General features: G+C 40.4%; 2 pseudogenes across 1 annotated transcript in view, besides 1 other annotated feature; both read right to left on the bottom strand.

Annotated features, from left to right (window-relative positions):
• The window catches only part of SMURF2P1-LRRC37BP1 (SMURF2P1-LRRC37BP1 readthrough transcribed pseudogene), a 61,002-nt pseudogene that overhangs the window by 20,294 nt on the left and 16,974 nt on the right, over positions 1–23,734 (bottom strand). The window contains exons 2-6 of the transcript NR_015341.2: positions 17,195–17,269; positions 9,508–9,621; positions 8,611–8,743; positions 6,231–6,284; positions 1,193–1,277 (exon numbers count right to left, since the gene is read on the bottom strand). The product of NR_015341.2 is annotated as an SMURF2P1-LRRC37BP1 readthrough transcribed pseudogene (transcript). The remainder of the gene's footprint in view (positions 1–1,192; positions 1,278–6,230; positions 6,285–8,610; positions 8,744–9,507; positions 9,622–17,194; positions 17,270–23,734) is intronic.
• On the bottom strand, positions 1,197–16,575 carry SMURF2P1 (SMAD specific E3 ubiquitin protein ligase 2 pseudogene 1; annotated as a pseudogene).
• Positions 16,412–16,891: a silencer, noted in NCBI's record as "silent region_8398". NCBI's record gives its function as "represses an Ori minimal core promoter by ATAC-STARR-seq in GM12878 lymphoblastoid cells {active_cell/tissue: GM12878}" and the evidence as "EXISTENCE:reporter gene assay evidence [ECO:0000049][PMID:35858748]".

The raw sequence follows: 23,734 nt of genomic DNA, 5'->3' as shown, positions 1-23,734 counted from the left end.
TGCTACCTGGCTCTTCTATTGGAATGGAGGGCTTTTCCATTCTTAGTCCATCCAACTCTGAACTTGCTCTGAATCTCAAACCTTTCTATTCGCAGAACAAATGCTCAAATGCTTTCAAGAGTTTTTCTGTAGATTAGGTTTATTAGCACCAACTTCATGACTTCTAAAATGTGACTGCTTGAATACAGGTATCTACCAGTGATATGGGGTGGATAATTAATAATGCTTGGCTACCTCTATAAAGACAGTGTTGCTTATTTTTCAGAACTTTTTTTTTTTTCTTTTCTTGTTTTTTTTTTTTACCAATTATATTCTTCCCTTCTCCCCAAGAGGCGGGCAGAAAAGCATTGTTAATCTCCTTTTACAGGTGAGGAAAAACAAGATCAGAGGTGCTAAGTGCTGTAGCCTAGTGCCAGGTCTTCTGTCCCCAATTCTGGGATCTCCCCAAGCCCATGTTTCTCCTTTCTTGCAATCTTTACTTCTTCCGCTGACCTTCAGCACCACCCAAAATACTTTTAATTCTGGAAAAGAAGCCCAGCTGCACACTGGCACACTTGACCTTCATGCACTCAGAAGCTTTGGATGATTCCCCATCCAAAATATTAGAGATGAATGAAAGTGAAGTAGGCATCTGACAAAAGTTGCTTTTTCCCTTCTGCATTTAGGACCTCAAGTAATGTTTATCCAGAAACTGCTACCATACCATAGATTCATTGTATATTTAACAACATAGGCATACAATCTGGCAAATTAAAAATTTCCTAACCTACACCCTGGATCCCTGCCCAAATTTAAGAAAAGAACTAAGGTGGACACAGTGTTTTTTCCCATGTCGCATCTTCTGTGATGGGGCTATGATATGTGGGAGCAGAGAATGGGGTGGGTGGGTGGAGCACATGCCAGATGAGGATCTATCAGCAATGGGAGGGGGCATCCACTTTAGCATCTCCACCCTGCTCCTCTCAGAGGACCGCCCTTCACTGCATTCAGCTGCGATGGTAGCAAGAACACAGGCACACTGAGGATGAAGACAGCGGGAGCCTTATATATAGATATATATATTATCTATATAATATCTATATATTATATATATAGATATATATTATATATATTATCTATATATTATATATATATATTTCTATATAGATATTATCTATATATTTCTCTAATGATTTCAGTGATGTTAGCTTACTTGTCTGGTAAATCATTATCAAATAAATGACTGCAGTCCACAACTTGTCCTCCTGTGCCGATTTGGTCCCTGGACTGAAGACTTACTATTAAATGATAGAAATATTACTAAGATTCATACAACTAGAAAGAATTACTATAATCAAAAATTTCTATCTTTAGAAAACATCTGGCTTAGCTTATTTTAATACTTTAGAATGACCTCTTTGGTTTCTACTAAAATTTATAATTTCTTTTCCCATAGATTTTTCCCTTTAGGAGTAATATTAGAATTCTAAAGTTTTCTACACTTCATCATGTTCATGGAAGAAGCCTAATTCCTTCTTTACCATAGTAACAGGGCATAGCAGAGTCACTACTGTACTTAAGAAGAGGCATAACATATTAAGAGTATATTCATGTACAAAGGAGTTTGAAAAGTCCACATTAAGTTTAATACTTGGTAATCTCACCATCTAAAAAATATATTGGGCCAGGCATGGTGGCTTACGCCTGTAATCCCAGCACTTTGGGAGGCCAAGGCGGGTGGATAACAAGGTCAGGAGATTGAGACCATCCTGGCCAACATAGTGAAGCCCCATCTCTACTAAAATACAAAAAGTAGCCAGGCATGGTGGCCTGTGCCTGTAGTCCCAGCTATTGGGGAGTCTGAGGCAGGGTAATCACCTGAAACTGGGAGACAGAGGTTGCAGTGAGCTGCAATTGCACCACTGCACTCCGGCCTGGTGAAAGAGTGAGACTCCGTCTCAAAAAAAGAAAAAAAATATATACTGTATTCGAGCAAGAGGGCCATCCTGGTATTCCAGCAAGAAAGCAATCCTTGGATTCCATGAGTTTTAACAGGACACTATTATCCAGAGTAGTATAAAACCACCGCAAAAAATGAAGAACCAAGAGATGTGGATTCTAGAGCAAGCTCTAGTAACCAGTTTAGCACTGTAAACTTGAACAAAACACTTAACAAACAAGGTTTAGATAATCCCCATCTGAATAATGAGAAAGTTAGCTTAATTGATATCTCACTGAAGTCCTTCTTTGCTGCTCCAGTATTGTTTAATTCTAATTCTAGTAACTCTCCCAAAAGACAGAAAGAGGTACAGTCAAACTTGACTATAATCCAACTTCTTAAATAATAGGTTAGTACAAAAAGTATTATTACATCTAATGACCCTTCATTCAAAGAAGGGTCTCAAAATTCTGAAATCTTCCAGTTCTGTGAATATTTTGAAGGATCAGTTCAACATAGAGCTCCTTTACATTAAGTCCCATTTAGAGGACAGAACACTACAAACACCTACTCAGCAAATGTAAACAAAACATTATTATGAAAACTGTGCTAGACAACTATATCCATCAGTTTTTAAATAGATAAAATAAGTGAAATGCTTATCAAAATACAATCACAGTAGAAACAATGTATTTTCTCGTTAGCTTTGTTTAGAATAATAGTAAGATTCAAAACTAAAGAATTTCATGGGCTTCAATTTACATCTCCAGAATGCTGTTAATAGCAGAGCTATTAACTGGTTAAATGAATTACATACCCACCATGGACTACCACACAACATTAAAAATGCTATAGATTTTGCAAGCCTTAATGCAAAGTAGGAAAAAAAAAGGAACAATGCTATAGAAATGTATTTATGGGCCAAAAAAACAAAGATGTTTATGATAAATTTAAACCAGTTTTTAAAAATTCAGTATAATCTCATTTTTTAAAAAAATACATAGAAAAAGTACACATCCAAGTGATAACGATGCCAATACAGTAGATTTCCCGTGCTCAAATGATCCTCCCACCTCAGCCTCCCAATGTAGCTGGGTCATCACAGTTTTAAACAAGGAAAAAACTTTGTACTCCTTGAATCAATTATCTCAACTTGGGAGATTTTTTTTTCATACCAGCAATGATTCTAAAAAATAAAGCGAAGTGTACAAAAATGTTTGCAAGTTTCAATGTTATAATAGCAAAAAAAATTTTTAATTATTAAGTTGTGATATATCTATATACTTCATCCTTTAAAAATCATTAATTACGGCTGGACACAGTGACTCACGCCTGTAATCCCAGCACTTTGGGAGGCTGAGGCGGGCAGATCACCTGAGGTCGGGAGTTGGAGACCAGCCTGACCAACATGGAGAAACCTTGTCTCTACTAAAAATACAAAAAAAAATTAGCCAGGCGTGGTGGCGCATGCCTCTAATCCCAGCTACTTGAGAGGCTGAGGCAGGAGAATCTCTGGAACCTGGGAGGTGGAGGTTGCAGTGAGCCAAGATCGCGCCATTGTACTCCAGCCTGGGCAACAAGAGTGAAACTCCGTCTCAAAAAAAAAAAAAAAAAAAAAAAAAAAAATCTATCTATCTATCTATCTATATATATATATATATATATATATATATAATTACAAAGATTATAAATACTAAAAACGATTATGGTAAGTGAAAGAAAGCAAAGTAGAAATTTAATCTTCAATGGAATTAAAGACATAAATATATACATTTTATATACATATTTATGTATATAAAAATACTAGAGGGGAATATAGTTTTTAAAGTTAGTCCTCTAGTGTTCTTTTCTCCATTTTCCAAAAAGTATATATACCTACTTACAATTATTTGTTAGAGGGCTAATTCTGAAAGAACTGGAACTCATTCTGTTTTTGAATGACAGAACTAAAGAATCATAATGTTTGAGTCCAGCCTCCCTCTCTCTTATTAATGGTCCTATTATGAACAGCAGATTCACACAAGAGCTTTAAATAAATACATATATATACATATATACACATATTTAAGAGTAAAACATTTGTTTTCTATGTAGTATACTCCAGTAGGTATATTTCTTTTTTCTTTTTTTTCTTTTTTTTTTTTGAGACGGAGTTTCACTCTTGTCGCCCAGGCTGGAGTGCAATGGCATGATCTCGGCTCACTGCAACCTCCGCCTCCGAGGTTCAAGTGATTCTTCTGCCTCAGCATCCTGAGTAGCTGGGATTATAGGCATGTGCCACCACGCCGGCTAATTTTATATTTTCAGTAGAGATGGGGTTTCTCCATGTTGGTCAAGCTGGTCTTGAACTCCTGACCTCAGGTGATCTACCTGCCTTGGCCTCCCAAAGTGCTGCGATTACAGGTGTCAGCCACTGTACCTGACCTCCAGTAGGTATATTTCTAATGTCTAACAAAGTCTGCTATTTATATAAATGCAAATTCACATCTAGTAAAACTATTTCGTTACTACTAGACAGTAGTTGGCAAGCATTATGTAACATAATAAATCAAATACAGAAGGAACACTTATATGTGAAAGTACTGTTATGACTGAATTGATTTTTGAGATTTTTTTTGTTTTTGCTTCCTTCTCAATCTAAGGATGACAGGAATTATCAGTAATGCTGTAGTGTAGATCAGGGATCCCCAACTCCCAGGCCATGGATGGATGGGGTATTGGTCCAGGGTCTGTTAGGAACCAGGCCGCACAGCAGGAGTGAGTAGTGGGTGAGTAAGCATTACCGCCTGAGCTCCGCCTCCTGTCAGATCAGTGGTGACATTAGATTCTCATAGGAGCACAAACCCTACTGTGAACCACACACACAAGGGATCTAGGTTGCCTGCTCCTTATGAGAATCTAACGCCTAATGATCTGTGACTGTCTCCCATCACCCACAGATGGGACCATCTAGTTGCAGGAAAACAAGCTCAGGGCTCCCACTGATTCTACATTATGGTGAGTTGTATAATTAGTTCATTATATATTACAATGTAATAATAATAAAGTGCACAATAAATGTAATGCATTTGAATCATCCTGAAACCAACTCCACCCCAGCCTGGTCTATGGAAAAACTGTTTTCTGTGAAACCGGTGCCTGGTGCCAAAAAGGTCGGGGAGTGCTGGTGTAGATACTTCCCTAAGATAACCAGAGTAGGGCTTTGCTATGTGGCTACCCTGGTAGTTCTCCATGAACCCAATTCACTGCCTTGTGAAATGAAGTCCTTCAAGTACCTTCAGTATTTAAAACCTCTATGATGGGTTCATAACAAAATAATCTTATTCTAAGTTCTGCTTTATCATGAAGTGTGACAGTCCTATTGGATTTTTCTTTTTTTCTTTTCCTTTTTTTGAGACAGGGGCTTGCTCTTGTCACCCAGCTGGAGTGCAATGGTGTGATCTCGGCTCACTGCAGCCTCTGCCTCCCGGGTTCAAGCGATCCTCCTGCCTCAGCCTCCAGAGTAGCTGGGATTACAGGTACTTGTCACCATGCCCGGCAAATTTTTTGTATTTTTAGTAGAGATGGGGTTTCACCATGCTTGCCAGGCTGGTCTCAAACTCCTGACCTCAGGTGATCCACCCGCCTCAGCCTCCCAAAGTGCTGGGATTACAGGCATGAGCCACTGTGCCCGGCCACATTTTTCTTCTTTAATTCAAGAAGCCTCCAAGATGAACAGTGTCCTTCCATACTATGCACCTTGATCAAATCTCTATCGATTCTTAGGAAAGGTCTCAGCAAATTTTATCTGAAGCCTTTCCCTCCAGGTCAATTCAAGACACCTAAATAACATATAAGGCTACTAAGTGCCTCATGAGTAAGGTAACAATTTCTCCCTTTTTCCAGTGTTACACTACCATTGCTCATTCTGTTTTTTTCAATTAGCATAGATTTTAAAGCTGTAAAGCATTAAACATTAAAACAAGTTCAATAGAATGTTGTCTTCTTACTAAAAAAACTAGTTTGAGAATTATTTTCAGTAAACTTTAATAACATCTATAAAGTCTGAACTCAGTGCTCTACTATGTTAGGATACTTTGAAAGAATTATTTCCTAAAGGATCAACAGTTCTTCACGACACTTTTTTTTTACATTAAAGTTTTAAAAATTAAGTTAACCTGGATCCTGGATTCACTGTAACATTTTACCTGATTCATTTAATTCAGGCCAACACTATGAAGCTACAGTTAACATACTTTGATTTAAAAGGTATTTAGACTTTAGGTCAGTTTGAATGAAACCAAAATTCATGTAACTTTAAATTCACACTTACCTACTGTCTTCTAACTGTCCTTTGGCCCAAGTTTGCATAAATCCAACCTCTGATCTATTTGAAATCAACAAAGAAAGCAATGAAAACATTAGCTGGTATCAGAGATTCTCATGTCTATAGAGTGACAATAAATTTCCACAATCTATTAGAAATCAAACCTATCATTTAAAGAATTCAGATTTCAAAAACCATGAAACACTAGTGTACTACATTGCCAACATGCAGTCACTTTCTCTCCAAAACTTTTAGACCACTTTAGTCTGAGTCTTAATAGTTGTTGGTCTTAAGGAATTTATCCGTCAGCCTTGGTTTTCTCACATATGGCAATATGTGAATCCTCATATTTTTTAAGGATTAAATCAGATAATTATGCAAAACTCACAGCATAGTGCCTGGCACATAAATGGTCAACAAATGTTAGTTGTCATTATTATTTTTTAACTAACCATTTCAAATGACATGCACACAAAAAAGTATTAATAAGAAGCCAAGAATAAACTGTAGAATCTGGGTTTGCATCAGTTCTGCCACTAATTCATTCAGGAGCAACTCATTTATTCTCTCAGATGCCTCATCTGTAAAAGAGATATAACACTGGCCTGACCCTGAAAGTTACAGTAAGGAACAATGTCACCCAAAGCATGCTGGTTTTACTTTGATTACAGTACTTATAGCTGAATACTTTTACAACCGTATGCCATCTGTCTACTTATTTGTGAATTGATAAAAGGAGGAGACCATATCGTAGTCTTTGTATTTTCCACTCCAACCCCGTAGAACATTGCATCAGGTAGGTGCTCAATAAATATTTGATAAATTCAGTATTACTGCACATCAAAAAAGTCAAATAAATTAATACAATGAGACAGTCACAAGAAACACAAAGAAAAATCCATGCCCCTAAACTACAGTCCCTGGTTATCCAACCAAAAATACAGACACTTTTCTCTTTGCAAAATAAATGGGTGCTGCTAAGTTGGCTACACAGTGGATTCTGCAGAGCAACTCCTCTCCTATTCAGTCCTTCCCATGCGGCATGCTCCCTTTGCCAGCAGGCCTTTGCCCTTCCTTCTCAGAGGACAGGGTTCATGCCTCTTTCTCCTTTATACAGCCAGGGTTTAGAACAGTAGCACATTAAGTCTTCAATAAACGTTGGCTAAATTGAACTAGGGATAATGTCAGACATTTGACCTATAATTTTTCAGTTTGCTGAGTAAGAAAACAGTTCATTTTTATATGCAACTCGTTTCCTTTCTCTCCTGTTGGTTACCCTGTCAGCCCAGAAATACAAGAACTTCTCAGATGCCTTTAAATACCTTGGACTAAGAACTTCTAGCTCAGTTTTCTGCCTTTTTCTTTTTCACAAGGTCAATATATACCTATGCTGTGGTATCATACTACATTAAAAGAGACAATCTCTTAACATATTTAACATTCAATGCTAAATTTACTCCTTTTCTGTTTATTAATTTCTTTAGCTCTTATGCGAGTTTGTTTAGCATATGCATCTGGGCTAAAATCCCATTACGAAGACTAACAGTATTTTTTACATTATATACACAAGAATTCTATAGAAACAAACACACACACAGAAAACCTGTTGAAAAAGGAATTCCCATTTATGTTCCAATGGAAAGACCCACCCAAAAGACCGTCACCTGGTTATGCTAAGTCACCTTATAAATCCATTATGAAAACCACTTCTAATGTCTTGATCTTGGTCTAATCTTTTAAACACCCAGGTTGGTGACAAACTGAGCTACAGTTAAGTAGTTCATAGAGCCGTCATACACTCAAAATAATGTTTAATCTTTCTTTAACTTTTAATTTTGTCACAGCAGTTTTATATATTATACCATTCTTATCCCTTCGTAATTGCTCTTTAACTGCCACCTTAAAGACTCCAATCACCTAAATAAAAACATGTTGTCCACAAATCCACCACAACCAGAAAAGGGTACTAAGAAATTTTAAAAGGTATATACATCCTGACACCTTTTTTTTTTGCCATTCTAGATATCAATCATTTCTTAATACTTTTAAATTAACTGGAAATGAAGCATCAGCTCTCATTTAGCTGTAAGTTTCACATATTTAAAACGTTTCATTTTTTTTAAGTCTACAAAATAAATTTAGACCAGGAATTTTTACCAATGTTTCAGACATACACAAGAAGTTATGTTTGAACCCCTACCAACATACTCAAATATATATATCCTTCATATATATTTGAGAATACATATATACTACATGTATATATGTATATGCACACATACATATACACACACACATATATGTATATGCACACATACATACACACACACACACACACACACACACATATATATATATAATTTGAAAAGCAGTAGTATCTACTCACAACCAGTGTCTTTGAGGTGGTTGATGGCACTGGAAAAAGACGAACACAACGGAGAAATCCAGCACCTTGTTTCTTATGGATCTTCTTGTGATTCCATACACTGATTGTAACTGAATCAGACTTTTCAATATACCTAAAAATGAAAATGGCTGCATAAGTATGTTGGTAGTTATAAGGCAGTGGGCGTAAAATTTTTCTTTTGTTCTTTTTATACCCTAAAGTTACAAATATGCTTCAGAGCCTGGCTAGATTATGCAAAATACATGAGTTAATCCACAGGATTGAATATAAAGTTTTAAAAAATCTTGAAAGTAAAATTTTTAAAAACAATTTTAGTATATTTTTATCACATCTGCCACTCTCAAGCTGGGCTATAATTCTAGTTAGTAAAAAGGCTATTTTGGTAGCTAGTGTCTAATAACACTAAGGGAGTTTATTAAATAACTTCTTTCCAAGAAAAAGAATCTTAAAAACTTTTATCATGGCCGGGCACAGTGGCTCACGCCTGTAATCCCAGCACTTTGGGAGGCTGAGGCGGGCGTATCACGAGGTCAGGAGATCAAGCCATCCTGGCTAACACGGTGAAATCCCGTCTCTACTAAAAATAAAAAATAAAAAAAAAATTAGCCGGGCGTGGTGGCGGGCGCCTGTAGTCCTAGCTACTCAGGAGGCTGAGGCAGGAGAATGGCGTGAACCCGGGAGGCGGAGCTTGCAGTGAGCCGAGATCGCGCCACTGCACTCTAGACTGGGAGACAGAGCGAGACTCCGTCTCAAAAAACAAAACAAAACAAAACAAAAAAACAACTTTTATCACAGTCACATTTTAAATACATTTCAATGACATGACCTACTTTCAAGGGATAGTGTCAAGGCTGACAGACCAAAAATTTGACCTACCTATTATATTTTAAAATGCTGTAGAACAAAAGCTGTTTCTAACGCTTTTCCCCTGCTTCTTTCCTGTATGCAGGCCTTGAACGAGCAGGACTCTTGCAGATTTCACTTCACCTCCTGCAGACAAGCAGTGCAGGGAGAAGCATTACTGTACTTGTCTGTGGATATACCTGCAAGTACGTAAAGGCTCTATCACAGCCAATTAGTAACATGGCATCAACTCATGCAAAAAGATAATATAATAACATAATGATGTCAGTAGAATCCTAGCTCTATTTCAATGACATTAAGAGGTCAAAGTTTTAGTCTAAAGTATTGCTAATTAAATAAATTAGCAATATCAGAAAAATTCACCTAGTATAGAGAAAAGCCTAAACCACTGAAGTAAGGACTAAAGCTTTCAAATAAGGAATATGGAAGGTAAACTTGAGCCCCGGGATCTAGCTGTGCCTAAAAAATGCCCACCCCCGGGCTTTTCATTATGCAAATCAGTACATTCCCTTTTTAAAAATTAAGCCGATTTGAACTTGGTCTCTGTTGCTTGCAAATGAAAAGACATGAACTAAAATATTGTTCAGTATGCATGTACCAATTTTCAAATACACCTACCCGACCTATCTTGGTATATATCTACTGGCATGTAATTCCAGAGCCAGAATCCAGTAATTAAGTAGCTGAATTACCCAAACCAAACATTTTTTTTAAAGTCACATTAAACCAGTTGTCCAACTAATAAGCCTGGTTTACAGGTATGCTGAAATACATATATCGATTACCTCAGTCCTCAGAGCAATGCACCACTGGCTTAAGCAACTTCACCTGTTTAGTCCAGTGTGCCATAATATTTTTTATGTGTACCATGATATGAAAAGGTTGGGAAGCTCTACATTAAACCATAATAAGAAATTGCTAATTATGGACCTTCTAGAAGACAGCCTAACTCTGAATTACTCAAAATTATGAAATATATTGTATTATTTAAGTGTACATGTCACAAACATTCTGTCCAAATATTCCTGGGCCAGAAATTAATCAGAAGTATTACCTTTTCTTATACACAGAGAAGTACATGCTCTCACTTTAATGAAACCTCATGTAATATAACATACATGGCCACATAAAAGAAAAAGTAAAGACTTTTATAATTGAAAGTTAAATAGAGGGCTCTATTAGCTTCTATTAAAACTTTGACTTCACTAACAAATACATGATTTATAAACAAGTTTCAGCATGTTTTGCTGAGAGGGGTAGATGGCAACCTCTATAGGTGAATATAATGTTACCATATAGACAAAAGTACAATATATATACTCAGGATTTTGGGCTAAAATTTAATTATTAGACTTTTGTTTGTACACTTAGCCAATTAAAGGCAAGGATTTTGCAAAATGACCTCAGACACAAGCAAGAGAGAAGCCTCTGGTAGCCAATTAATATTAACTGTAAGATAAAACATAACGAGCACATGCAAAGATGTTCAACATCATTAGTCATGAGGGAAATGCACTTCCAAACCATGACGAGGTACAACTTCATACCCACTAGGGGGGCTACAATTTTTTTAAAGGAAAATAACAAGCGACAGAAGAATAAAGAAACTTCCAGTGGAAAACAACAGTCATGACAGATCAAAATCAGGATGCCATCAGCAATACTCTGAACCTACACTGTCCAAAATGGTATCCACCAACCACATGGGACCTTTGAGTACTTCAAATGTGGCCAGTCCACATTGAGGCAAGCTGCAAAAGAAACCACTGATTTTTCTTAACATAAAATGAGAAAACCACTGATTTTTCAAAGACATAGTAAATATGTATATATACATAAATATGTAAGTAGCTCAATATTTTTATACTGCCATGTAGAAAATATTTTTGATATATTGAATTAAATAAAATATATTATGCTTCATTTTAAGCATAATAAATTATGCTTATTATGCATAATATATTATATTATGGGTCTCGCTATGTTGCCCAGTGTGGTCACAAACTGCCGGCCTCAAGTTATCCTCTCACCTCAGCCTCCCGAGTAGCTGGATTACAAGTGCAAGCCACCATGCCCAGTTTATTATGCTTAACGTCATCTGTTTCTTTTTACTTATCTTAATGTGGATACTAGGAAATTTAAAATTACAGATGAGCTCCCATTTGTGGCTTACATTATATTTCTACTCAACAGTTCGGATCTAAATCTAGAAGATAATGGACCAATGTATTCAACATTTGGAGATAAAGTCCTATTTCATCTAGAAGCCTGTACTCGAACCATACCAACAGATAAGAAATCAAAATATATTTTCTGATAAGATCTAAACTTTCTTCCCATCTTTGTATTATTTCTCAAAATGACAACAGAAGATAGAGTTCACCAAATCAGGAGAGTAAACAAAAAATAGGAAGTCACTAAATCTAGAAGAGACAAAGGAAATTGCCAACATAACAATACAGGCAAGTCCCAGGACAACTGCCCAGCAGGTCTTAGAGAACCATTATGCCAGGCTGAAGAAAGAGAACACAGACCCCCAGGAGGGGTATCTCCAAGAAGAAACAAAGCCAAAGGAATACTGACAGAACTGAATATATGGAGAAAAGATCTTCAGTTCTGTAGGAGAGTTTGAGGATTATGACATGTAATTTCTCATTTCTAGCTAGGAGAGGAATAGAAAACTAAACAAAAGGGAAAAGTAGCTACTAATTTCAGAAAAAACAAAAGCTGTCAAGAAAGAAAATATAATTCTTGTACCCATGTGACCCAACTATGGATATTTACATAATCATAATAATGTAAACATGGAACAATGGTTTAACCAAAAAGTGTCCTATAATTATATTGGAAGACTAAAGAAAGATAGGTTTCAACTTAACCTGATTATACTATTCTACAAAAAGTTAACTTGAGAGCCAAGTTACTCTAATGTGGTCAAAAGCTATCAGGTTTCCTGAAGTTAGTGAGACATGTAGTGGTAAATACAAAGTGGCTAGAGAACTTTGCATTTAAAAAATTTCTTGGCTGGGCGTGGTGGCTCACGCCTGTAATCCCAGCATTTTGGGAGGCAGAGGCTGGCGGATCACGAGGTCAGGAGATAGAGACCATCCTGGCTAACACGGTGAAACCCCATCTCTACTAAAAATACAAAAAATTAGCCAGGCGTGGCGCCATGCGCCTGTAGTCCCAGCAACTCGGGAGGCTGAGGCAGGAGAATCGCTTGAACCCGGGAGGCCCAGGTTGCAGTGAGCTGAGATCGCGCCACTGCACTCCAGCCAAGAGCGAAACTCCATCTCAAATAAATAAATAAATAAATAACGTCATTATGGTGTATAGGCATACTTAAAAACCTGTGTAATAGAATAAAGCCATAATTTTCAAGGCCTTGAATTAATAAAATATGTAGTGAAACAAGATTAAGACGCTAGCATATATAAAGGGAAATTTTTAAAGTTAAATTTCCTTACATTATAGACAAGGTTAACCTCCTTACTGCCAAGGGCTTTGAAATTAATAATATGAGAAGCAGCATACAAAAACATTAAATTTATAAAAAGATCTGAAATAAATGTTCTGAAGGAGTAATCTTATTCTACTTCTCCATACCTAAGAATTTAAAATATTAGAAATTACATTAAACTGCTTTTTGCAGCCTTTGGTTTTCAAAAACAATAATGGTCTGAAAATTATCCTAAAGTTTTTACTGTAAAGAATATTTTTCTATCCAAACCATTGTAAGAAAAGCCTGTATCTGACAGTCATATAGGTATAATGGTATAGAAATTATACATTTTATAATCAATTTGTTCTAGAAATATTAGTTGAAGTTGATAGTGTTACCATACAGCCCATTTTAATGATCATATGTTAATGTGTCACAAAGAACAGAAGTAGCTTGATGGATGAAATTGGATTCTAACCCCCAATTGCCTGAGGAATCTAAAATTTGGGATCAAATTATTAAATTAGTCCCACCTTCTTAGCATTGACAAATACCAAACAATTCACTGACTGTGGTTTTAAGAATAATATGTGGAAAGGTCTAATATCAATTGTGGGCAGAGCTCTCACGGTTCAAATATTTCAGAAAGACAGTGTATGAGTGTGTGAGTGTGTGAGTGTGTGTGTGTGTGTGTGTGTGTGTGTGTGTGTGTCACCATGCAAGAAATGTTTATACCTTTCAGTAAAAAGGCAATTCCGCAATAAGGTTATTACCAAGTAACTAAAATTTATACAGCATATTGAAATCAAAGGTACTCTATAAATTTAAAATACTAATATGGTATTAACTTAAAGCAAAGAACAATAATTTTAAAACATCTTACAGCCCAAGTGTATTGTAAACCAAATATAAATTCACTGTGGGATCTGTCTTTTTTTAAGTGATTTTTTTTCCTCTATTAGGGAACCCAGGTCTAAATGAACTGTTAAACACTTAGTCTAAAGGTATGCCAAACATTTCTTAAGGTCTTAACAAAGAATCAACTTTTTTTTTTTTTTTTAAACAAAATGAGGCCTAGGTTAAGTATTTTATTTGGCTTCTCAAGATGGACTGAGAAGTTGGGCACCAGCTCCAGACCAATTCCTGGACGCACATCAAACACAGCCCTGTCATTTATCCTGTCAGTCAAAACAATCTTTTCCATCTAACCCTTTAATGTTTATGTCCTAAAAAGCTGCTAATTAAATCCAGCTCTTGAGATCTATTTGCTAAAATATATCCCATCTAATTTGTAAATGATGAACAAAAATGAAAAAAAAAATGTTCGCTTTCCTGGCAAAACAGAAGACTCCACTATAACCAAAGGAGGAAGGACAATGTTTTTAACATTTGTCAAATTTTAAGAGAAAACTATTCAGAGACAAATAGTTGTAAGAAACTCAGAGTACCTCAAACTGTTTTTCCTATTAAGTGGACACAGGGTATTTAAAAAATCCTCAGAAAAACCTGAAACAAAATCACTCTATAAATGTAGTTCAATATTCCCTCTTCCCCTAAAATATAAGCATAATCTTTCCTCTTAACAAACTTTACTTATAAATTTTTATAATGTATCATAGGCAGTACAGAAACCACAGATAAACACTTTAAGATCTACTGAGTCATACTAAAAACCTCAACTCATTTTATCTGCAGAAAATCAAAATCCCTATTTTTTCCCTCATTTTCTCTATGTAGCCTTGAGGGAAGTAAATGGAAACAGCTTATTTCTGATGCTTTCTGCACACCTGGGATCGCATGTTCTTTCGATGATCACTGATTCCAGATAGCAACAGATAAACTCTAAAGCAACAAAGATCCCCTAAAAAGGTTTCCATTGACTTCTCCCAATATAAGGACATTGAATGGGGGGGAGTAGGGGGAAATACAAGTATCCTCCAATCCAGGTTTTCCATTAAGAACCACTCAGTTAATGATTCCCTGCATTTTTCCCTAGGGAAAGCAAAACTGTCATGAAGGTCGTATATTATTTAAATTGCAGCCAACAGACATTCGAGATAAATTCTCAAATACCAAATTCACTGCAAGTTTTCATCTAGCTGTACTGGGATGTGACACACAGGCATTCAACCACAAAATTAGCTCAAATAAATCTCAAAGTCTAGTGTGGACAAACATAATTACAGTTTATTCGTACACGTGCACGCACACACAAATCCTCTACGGAAAATTATCTTTCTCACCACTCATCGGAATATAAACGTGGACAATTTATCAGGGGTAAATGGTGAAGGTAGGATAACGTCGTGATTTCAATTCCTTTTCAAACCAAATACAAGTTTTCCTAAAATGGGGGTGACATGTCCATGTAAGAATACCAAAAATGGCACTGTAAGCAAAAATGTACCTGTAATGTTAAAGATTTCATGCGCCTGGAATCATAAACACTTTGTAAGTGTAGTCTTCTATCTAGCAACCCCTCCGGACATTATTTTCCATTTAGAAAAAGGAAGGGGGAGGGTGGGGAGAGTAAGAGAAAGTTTGCTCTAAAGTTTGTATGAGCACATAGTTAGAAAAGTACCCCCTACCCGCCTCCAAAAGTGTGTTTTTAAAGCAGGTCTGGAGTTAGAAGTGACACAAGTTCTGCGGCCTACAAGGTACAACCCCAAACATGCCACCCTACAATCAGACACTTCCAAAACACAGTGTACAATGAGCCCGAGCCGTCGGATCAGACAGGCACATGGGAAAAGTCAACCTCAGTCTCCTCTCCTCAGAGAGACCTGAGTTTAAGGTGTGCGGCCCCGGCAACGGTGGCCAGAGGCGGGGAGTAAAGGTTTTGCAAGCGGGCATAAGTGGGTGTGCAAGGTAACAACCCGGGAACACACACGTACACCCTCCCGTTAAGCGCTCCATCTTTAAGGAGTGTTTACTGCGCGCAGTCTGCAACCGGATTCAATAATCCCCTTCACGAGCCCACCTGGGCCGTAGCCCAGGGGCTGCTGCTCCCCGAGCCCCGGGAGGCAGCGTCGGGCTCCTTGACCAAGACTTTTCAGCCCGAAATCCGCTGCGATGCGAACGGGTGTATCCTCCCCTCCACAAAAGACTACCCCGCCTCCCCGAGTCATCCTCGGCTTTTTAAAGAATGTCCAAACCAGAGCGAGTGGCTTTCCAATTACTCTCCCTGAACTAGGCCTTCCTACTCCTCCGACCCCCAACTCACCATTGATCGCGATCCTGGCCCTTCCCAAGTCAACAGGTACCCCGCGCCAGCTCGCCCACCCGGCGGCTGCCCAGCCCGGCCGCCGCTCCCCATCACCTGTCGGGCGCAGTCTGACTGGCCCGTTCCTCCGGCTTCAGGGGTTGGACATGTCCCCGGCGGCGGGGTTGGCGGGGGCGGCGGGCGGGACGGGGACAGGGGCGACGTCGAAGCGCGGCGGAGTCACCACAGAGGCAGGGGCTGAGGCCCGAGCTGCCGGCGCTGCGACCGCCACGGCCGGAGGGTCCCGGATGTGGCGAGCGTCGTCGTCCTGAGCCGCTGAGCTCCCCGCTCCTCCCACTTCTCCTTCCTTGGTCCGGGCAGCACAACTAGGCGGCAGCCGGCCGCTGGCGCCCCAGCCGTCTCCTCGCGGCCTCCGCGGCCTTTCCCTCCTCTCCTCTAGGCTAGGCCCAGTAGCCGACGGGGCTGGTCGGCTGAGGCGGGCGGTGCTCGGCGGCGCCGGAGCAGGACTCTGGGCTCGGCTACTCCTCCTCCACCCGCCTTTTTGTCTGAGGGACCCGGGACCTGGGGCTGCCGCCACCACTGGTCGGCTCCGGGGGACTGGGAGGAGACGGGAGTTGGGGCCGTTGGGGCCGGGCGGGGCCAGCGGGCGCGCGCAGAGTACCCAGGGTGCCCCGGGCTGGCACCGGCCGTCAGGGAGTGGGTGAGGTGCCGCCGAGGGTCTCACGCGGAACGCGCGCAGGGAGCAAAGTGGCAGCGGGGGCGACAACTCTGGCACCTGGAGGGGCATAGTGTCCGGTCCACTTAAGGAGAGCTTTTGTCCAAGCAGGGCCGACTGCATTTATTAGACGCCCACTGCGTGCAGAGCGCTCCTAGAGGCTGGGGCGAGGAAGGTTAGAACCGAGTCCGCTGCCCGCTGGGAATCTGGCGTCTCTCGGGCGAGGGAAGAGACAGCATTCCCACGCCAATGGTTCCAGCAAAGCCCCAGGACTGCTCTGCTCCTGGTCTTGTAGTTGACACCTCCATCGGAGACTCACCTGGGGGAGGCGATCGGGTTACCTGCCGGCTCCTGCTCTTTTCAGGTGCAGCCAAGGATAGGGAGATGATAACATCTGAAAGGATTAACAAGATAAACCTTGGAGAGTAATGTATGAAGGGTTGTTCATACACTGCTGTATTTAGTTATCTCAGGAGGAGAAAGAAAATTTCTTTTTAAATGTGTACCTTATCCTTTGACCTTGTAACTTTACTGCTAGGATTTTTTTTTTTTTTTTTGACAGGGTCACCCTCTGTCGCCCAGGCTTGAGTGCAGTAGTGTGACCACGCCTCACTGCAGCCTCAACTTCCTGGGCTCTGGTGATACTCTCACATGAGCCTCTGGAGTAGCTGGGACCACAGGTGTGCACCACCACGCCCCATTAATTTTTGTATTTTTAGTAGAGACATGTTTAGTAGAGACATTTAGGTTTCCCCACGTTGCCAGGCTGGTCACGAACTCCTGACCTCAAGAGATCCGCCTGCCTCGGCCTCCCAAAGTGCTCTCAGGCTCGGCTCCCTGAGCCACCATGCCTGGCCCTATTCTTGACAAATAAATAATAGTACGGAAGATGTTCTTTGCTATATTCCATTAATAACAAAAGGAATGAGGGAACAGCATAATGGTCCATGAACCGCATGCTTTTTAATGCAGCCATTTAACTGACAAGTTTTATGAAGATCATATAATATGGAAGAATGTATATGTAATGCAAAGTTTAAAAACAGAATAGAAGTTGTATGCATATGCATGCGAAAGTATGTAGCACAATGTAAACTACTAAGAACAACAGCGTGGGAGATTTTTTATGTGATTCATTAGTTTTGCTTTAGGCTGTTATTAATGCAATTTTAAATGTTTTGGATTAATATATTTTAATCCTTATTCCATGCCAGTCATTTCTTTTAATGCATCAGTGTAGTCACCTCTCCAGATAGTTACCTCTGAGAGCATTTCATCAGTTTGGATACAGCCTTACAATTAAAGTAATCCAAAAAAGTATATGAAGTTCTAGACATCACACTAGAAATACCACAGATAGGCCGGGCAGGGTGGCTCACCCCTGTAATCCCAACACTTTGGGAGGCCAAGGCGGGCGGATCATTTGAGGTCAGGAGTTCAAGACCAGCCTGGCCAACTTGGTGAAATCCCGTCTCTGCTAAAAAAAAAAAAAAAAAATATATATATATATATATTAATTAGCCAGGCGTGATGGCGCATGCCTGTAGTCCCAGCTACTAGGGAGGCCAAGGCACGAGAATCGCTTGATCCCGAGAGGTGGCAGTGAGCCAAGATCACGCCACTGCACTTCAGCCTGGGCAACAGAATGAGGCTCCGTATCAAAAATAAATACATAAATAAATAAAAATAAAAATACCAGAGATAGTGCCAGCAATTCATTCAACAAATATTAAGTGGCTATTTTGTGCAGAACAATGAGCAAGGTCCTTTAGAAATGCTTCCTTGTACTACAGATATATACAAATCAATGTGAACAATAGCTGCTACCACAATTTAAGAGGCTGAACAGTGGCAAAAAACTTAGCAAACTGATGTACACATTCACATTTGCCTTATTTTTATGGCACATTCTTTGTTTCCAGCCACCCAACTAACATAATTTGTAGCTTTATATTAGTTAATGTAAGTTAGTATTTCAGAAGGTGATGGGAGACCTGGGGGAGACTGCTTGTTTTGAAGTTTAAAGCAGTACATTCAAAAATGTAAGTGACAGCATAGAAAAATGTATACAGGGTTAACATGCAGAGGTTTGTATTTAGGCTTTCTTGTAAGTTTAAATACTATTGTTTAAAACAAATATTCAGATAAGAATAACACTTTAAAACCATTCAAGGACTGGGCATGGTGACTCATGCCTGTAATCCTAGCACTTTGGGAGGCTGAAGCAGAGGAATCAGTTGAGCTCAGGAGTTTGAAACCAACGTGGGCAACATGGCGAAACCTCATATCTACAAAAAATTAGCCGAGAGTGGTGGCATGCACCTATAGGCCCAGCTACTCGGAAGGCTGAGATAGGAGGATCACCTGAGCCCACAGAGGTCAAGGTTGCAGTGAGCCATGATCATGCTACTGCATTCTGTGGGGGAAAGAAATAGAGATCAGACTGTTACTGTGTCTATGTAGAAAGAGGAAGACATAAGAAACTCCATTTTGGGGATCTAATTAAACTAAAGAGCTTCTGCACAGCAAAAGAAACTATCATCAGAGCGAATAGGCAACCTACAAAATGGGAGAAAATTTTCGCAACCTACTCATCTGACAAAGGGCTAATATCCAGAATCTACAATGAACTCAAACAAATTTACAAGAAAAAAACAAACAACCCCATCAAAAAGTGGGCGAAGGACATGAACAGACACTTCTCAAAAGAAGACATTTATGCAGCCAAAAGACACATGAAAAAATGTTCACCATCACTGGCCATCAGAGAAATGCAAATCAAAACCACAGTGAGATACCATCTCACACCAGTTAGAATGGCGATCATTAAAAAGTCAGGAAACAACAGGTGCTGGAGAGGATGTGGAGAAACAGGAACACTTTTACACTGTTGGTGGGACTGTAAACTAGTTCAACCATTGTGGAAGTCAGTGTGGCAATTCCTCATGGATCTAGAACTAGAAATACCATTTGACCCAGCCATCTCATTACTGGGTATATACCCAAAGGACTATAAATCATGCTGCTATGAAGACACATGCACACGTATGTTTATTGCGGCATTATTCACAATAGCAAAGTCTTGGAACCAACCCAAATGTCCAACAATGATAGACTCATTAAGAAAATGTGGCACATATACACCATGGAATACTATGCAGCCATAAAAAATGATGAGTTCATGTCCTTTGTAGGGACATGGATGAAACTGGAAATCATCATTCTCAGTAAACTATCGCAAGAACAAAAAAACCACACACCGCATATTCTCACTCATAAGTGGGAATTGAACAATGAGAGCACATGGACACAGGAAGGGGAACATCACACTCTGGGGACTGTTGTGGGGTGGGGGGAGGGGGGAGGGATAGCACTGGGAGATATACCTAATGCTAGATGATGAGTTGGTGGGTGCAGCGCACCAGCATGGCAGATGTATACATATGTAACTAACCTGCACATTGTGCACGTGTACCCTAAAACTTAAAAGTATAATAATAAAAAATAAATAAATAAATAAAAGAAACTCCATTTTGATCTGTACTAAGAAAAATTCTGCTGCCTTGTGTTGTGGGAAGTCAGGGACCCCAAATGGGGGGACTGGCTGAAGCTATGACAGAAGAACATGGATTGTGAAGATTTTATGGACATTTATTAGTTCCCCAAATTAATACTTTTGTAATTTCTTATGCCTGTCTTTACTGCAATCTCTAAACATAAATTGTAAAGATTTCATGGACACTTATCACTTCCCCAGTCAATACCCTTGTGATTTCCTATGCCTGTCTTTACTTTATTTTTTTATTTTTTATTTATTTTTTTTTTTGAGAGGGAGTCTCGCTCTGTTGCCCAGGCTGGAGTGCAGTGGCACAATCTCGGCTCACTGCAAGCTCCGCCTCCCGGGTTCAGGCCATTCTCTTGCCTTAGCCTCCTGAGCAGCTGGGACTACAGGCGCCCGCAACCATGCCCAGCTAATTTTTTGTATTTTTAGTAGAGACGGGGTTTCACCGTGTTCACCAGGATGGTCTCGATCTCCTGACCTCGTGATCCACCCACCTCGGCCTCTGAAAGTGCTGGGATTACAGGCGTGAGCCACTGCGCCCGGCCAACCTGTCTTTACTTTAATCTCTTAATCCTGTCAGTCGAGGAGGATGTATGTCACCTCAGGACCCTGTAATAATTGCATTAACTGCACAAATTGTAGAGCATGTGTGTTTAAACAATATGAAATCTGGGCACCTTGAAAAAAGAACAAGATAACAACAATGTTTAGGAAACAAGAGAGATAACCTTAAACTCTGACCACTGGTGAGCCGGGCAGAACAGAGCCATATTTCTCCTCTTTCAAAAGAAATGGGAGAAATATCGCTGAATTCTTTTTCTCAGCACGGAACGTCCCTGAGGAAGAGAATACACGCCTGGAGGTATAGGCTTATAAACAGCACCCCCAGGTGCGCCTGTCTCTTATGGTCGAAATTGCAGAGATGAAATATACTCCAGTCTCCCATAGCGCTCCCAGGCTTATTAGAAAGAGGAAATTCCTGCCTAATAAATTTTGGTCAGACCAATTGATCTCAACACCCTGTCTCCTGATAAGATGTTACCAATGACAATAGTGCCCGAAACTTCATTAGCAATTTTAATTTCGCCTCAGTCCTGTGGTCCTGTAATCTCACCCTGCCTCCACTTGCCTTGTGATATTCTATTACCCTGTTAAGTATTTGATGTCTGTCACCCACACCTATTCGCACACTCCCTCCCCTTTTGAAAAGCCCTAATAAAAACTTGCTGGTTTTTGTGGCTTGTGGGGCATCACGGATCCTACCAACGTGTGATGTCTACCCCGGACGCCCAGCTTTAAAATTTCTCTTTTGTACTCTGTCCCTTTATTTCTCAAGCCGGCCGACGCTTAGGAAAAATAGAAAAGAACCTACATGATTATCGGGGCAGGTCCCCCGAAAGCCTTGAGATGCTGTTAATCTGTAACCCTATCCTCAACCCTGTGCTCGCAGAAACATGTGCTATATTGACTCAAGGTTTAATGGATTTAGGGCTGTGCAGGATGTGCCTTGGTAAAAATGTGTTTGCAGGCAGTGTGCTTGGTAAAAGTCATCGCCATTCTCCAGTCTTGAGTACCCAGGGACACAATGCACTGCGGAAGGCCGCAGGGACCTCTGCCCAAGAAAGCCTGGGTATTGTCCAAGGTTTCCCCCCACTGAGACAGCCTGAGATATGGCCTCGTGGGAAGGGAAAGACCTGACCGTCCCCCAGCCCGACACCCGTAAAGGGTCTGTGCTGAGGAGGATCAGTGAAAAAGGAAGGCCTCTTTGCAGTTGAGATAAGAGGAAAGCATCTGTCTCCTGCTCATCCCTGGGAATGGAATGTTTCGGTGTAAAACCCGATTGATCGTACATTCGATTTACTGAGATAGGAGAAAACCGCCTTATGGCTGGAGATGAGACGTGCTGGCGGCAGTACTGCTCTTTACTGCACTGAGATGTTTGCGTGAAGTCAAACGTAAATCTGGCCTATGTGCACATCGAGGCACAGCACCTTTCCTTAAACTTGTTTATGACACAGAGTCCTTTGCTCACGTTTTCCTGCTGACCCTCTACCCACCATTACCCTATAGTCCTGCCACATCCCCCTCGCCGAGATGGTAGAGATAGTGATCAATAAATACTGAGGGAACTCAGAGACCAGTGCTGGTGCAGGCCCTTGCTTGCTGAGCGCTGGTCCCCTGGGCCCACTTTTATTCCTCTATACTTTGTCTCTGTGTCTTATTTGTTTTCTCAGTCTCTCATCTCCACCTTGCGAGAAATACCCACAGGTGTGGAGGGGCAGGCCCCCTTCAGCATTCCAGCGCCACTGCATTCCATCCTGGGCAGCAGACTGAGACTGTCTCAAAAACAAGCAAAAAAAAAAGACGGCTGGGTGCAGTGGCTCGTGCCTGTAATCCCAGCACTTTATAATGTTAACTCTAATTTTTTGGCAGGTTTTTTTTTTTTTAATCAAATTCAGGAAATTCTCCCCATATACCTTTCATACTTTTTTTTTTTTTTTGAGAGAAAGTCTTACTCTGTCGCCCAGGCTAGAGTGCAGTGGCGCAATCTCAGCTCACAGCAACTTCTGCCACCCAGGTTCAAGCGATTCTCCTGCCTCAGCCTCCCAGGTAGCTGGGATTACAGGCGCCTGCCACTGCGCCTGGGTTTTTTTTTTTTTTTTTTTTTTTTTTTTTGAGACGGGGTCTCACTCTGTAGCCCAGGCTGGAGTGCAGTGGCACAATCTCGGTCCACTGCAAGCTCTGCCTCCCGGGTTCACACCATTCTCCTGCCTCAGCCTCCCGAGTAGCTGGGACTACAGGCACCCGCCACCAAGCCTGGCTAATTTTTTTTTTTTTTTTTTTTGTATTTTCAGTAGAGACGGTGTTTCACTGTGTTAGCCAGGATGGTCTCGATCTCCTGACCTCATGATCTGCCTGTCTTGGCCTCCCAAAGTGCTGGGATTACAGACGTGAGCCACCACACCCGGCCACGCCTGGTTAACTTTTGTAGTTTTAGTAGAGATGGGGTTTTACCATTTTGGCCAGGCTGGTCTTGAACTCCTGACCTCGTGATCCACCCCCCACCCCCCCCCGCCCCCGCCTTGGTCTCCCAAAGTGCTAGGATTACAGGTGTGAGCCACCGCGACTAGCCCCCATATACCTATTTTACCTGAATTTTATTATGAGTTGGTGTTAAATTTTGTCAAATACTTTTTTTCTGAAATTAATTGACATGATTTTTTTTCTTTTAGCCTTTTAATTTTCAAATATCAAATCAGCTATGTATCCTTGGAATAAACCCCCCTTTGTCATGTT

Source organism: Homo sapiens, chromosome 17 (genome assembly GCF_000001405.40).
Source record: "Homo sapiens chromosome 17, GRCh38.p14 Primary Assembly".
Lineage (NCBI taxonomy): Eukaryota > Metazoa > Chordata > Mammalia > Primates > Hominidae > Homo > Homo sapiens.
Note: the sequence above shows the minus strand (reverse complement) of the source record. Positions and strands in the feature narration are given on the sequence as shown.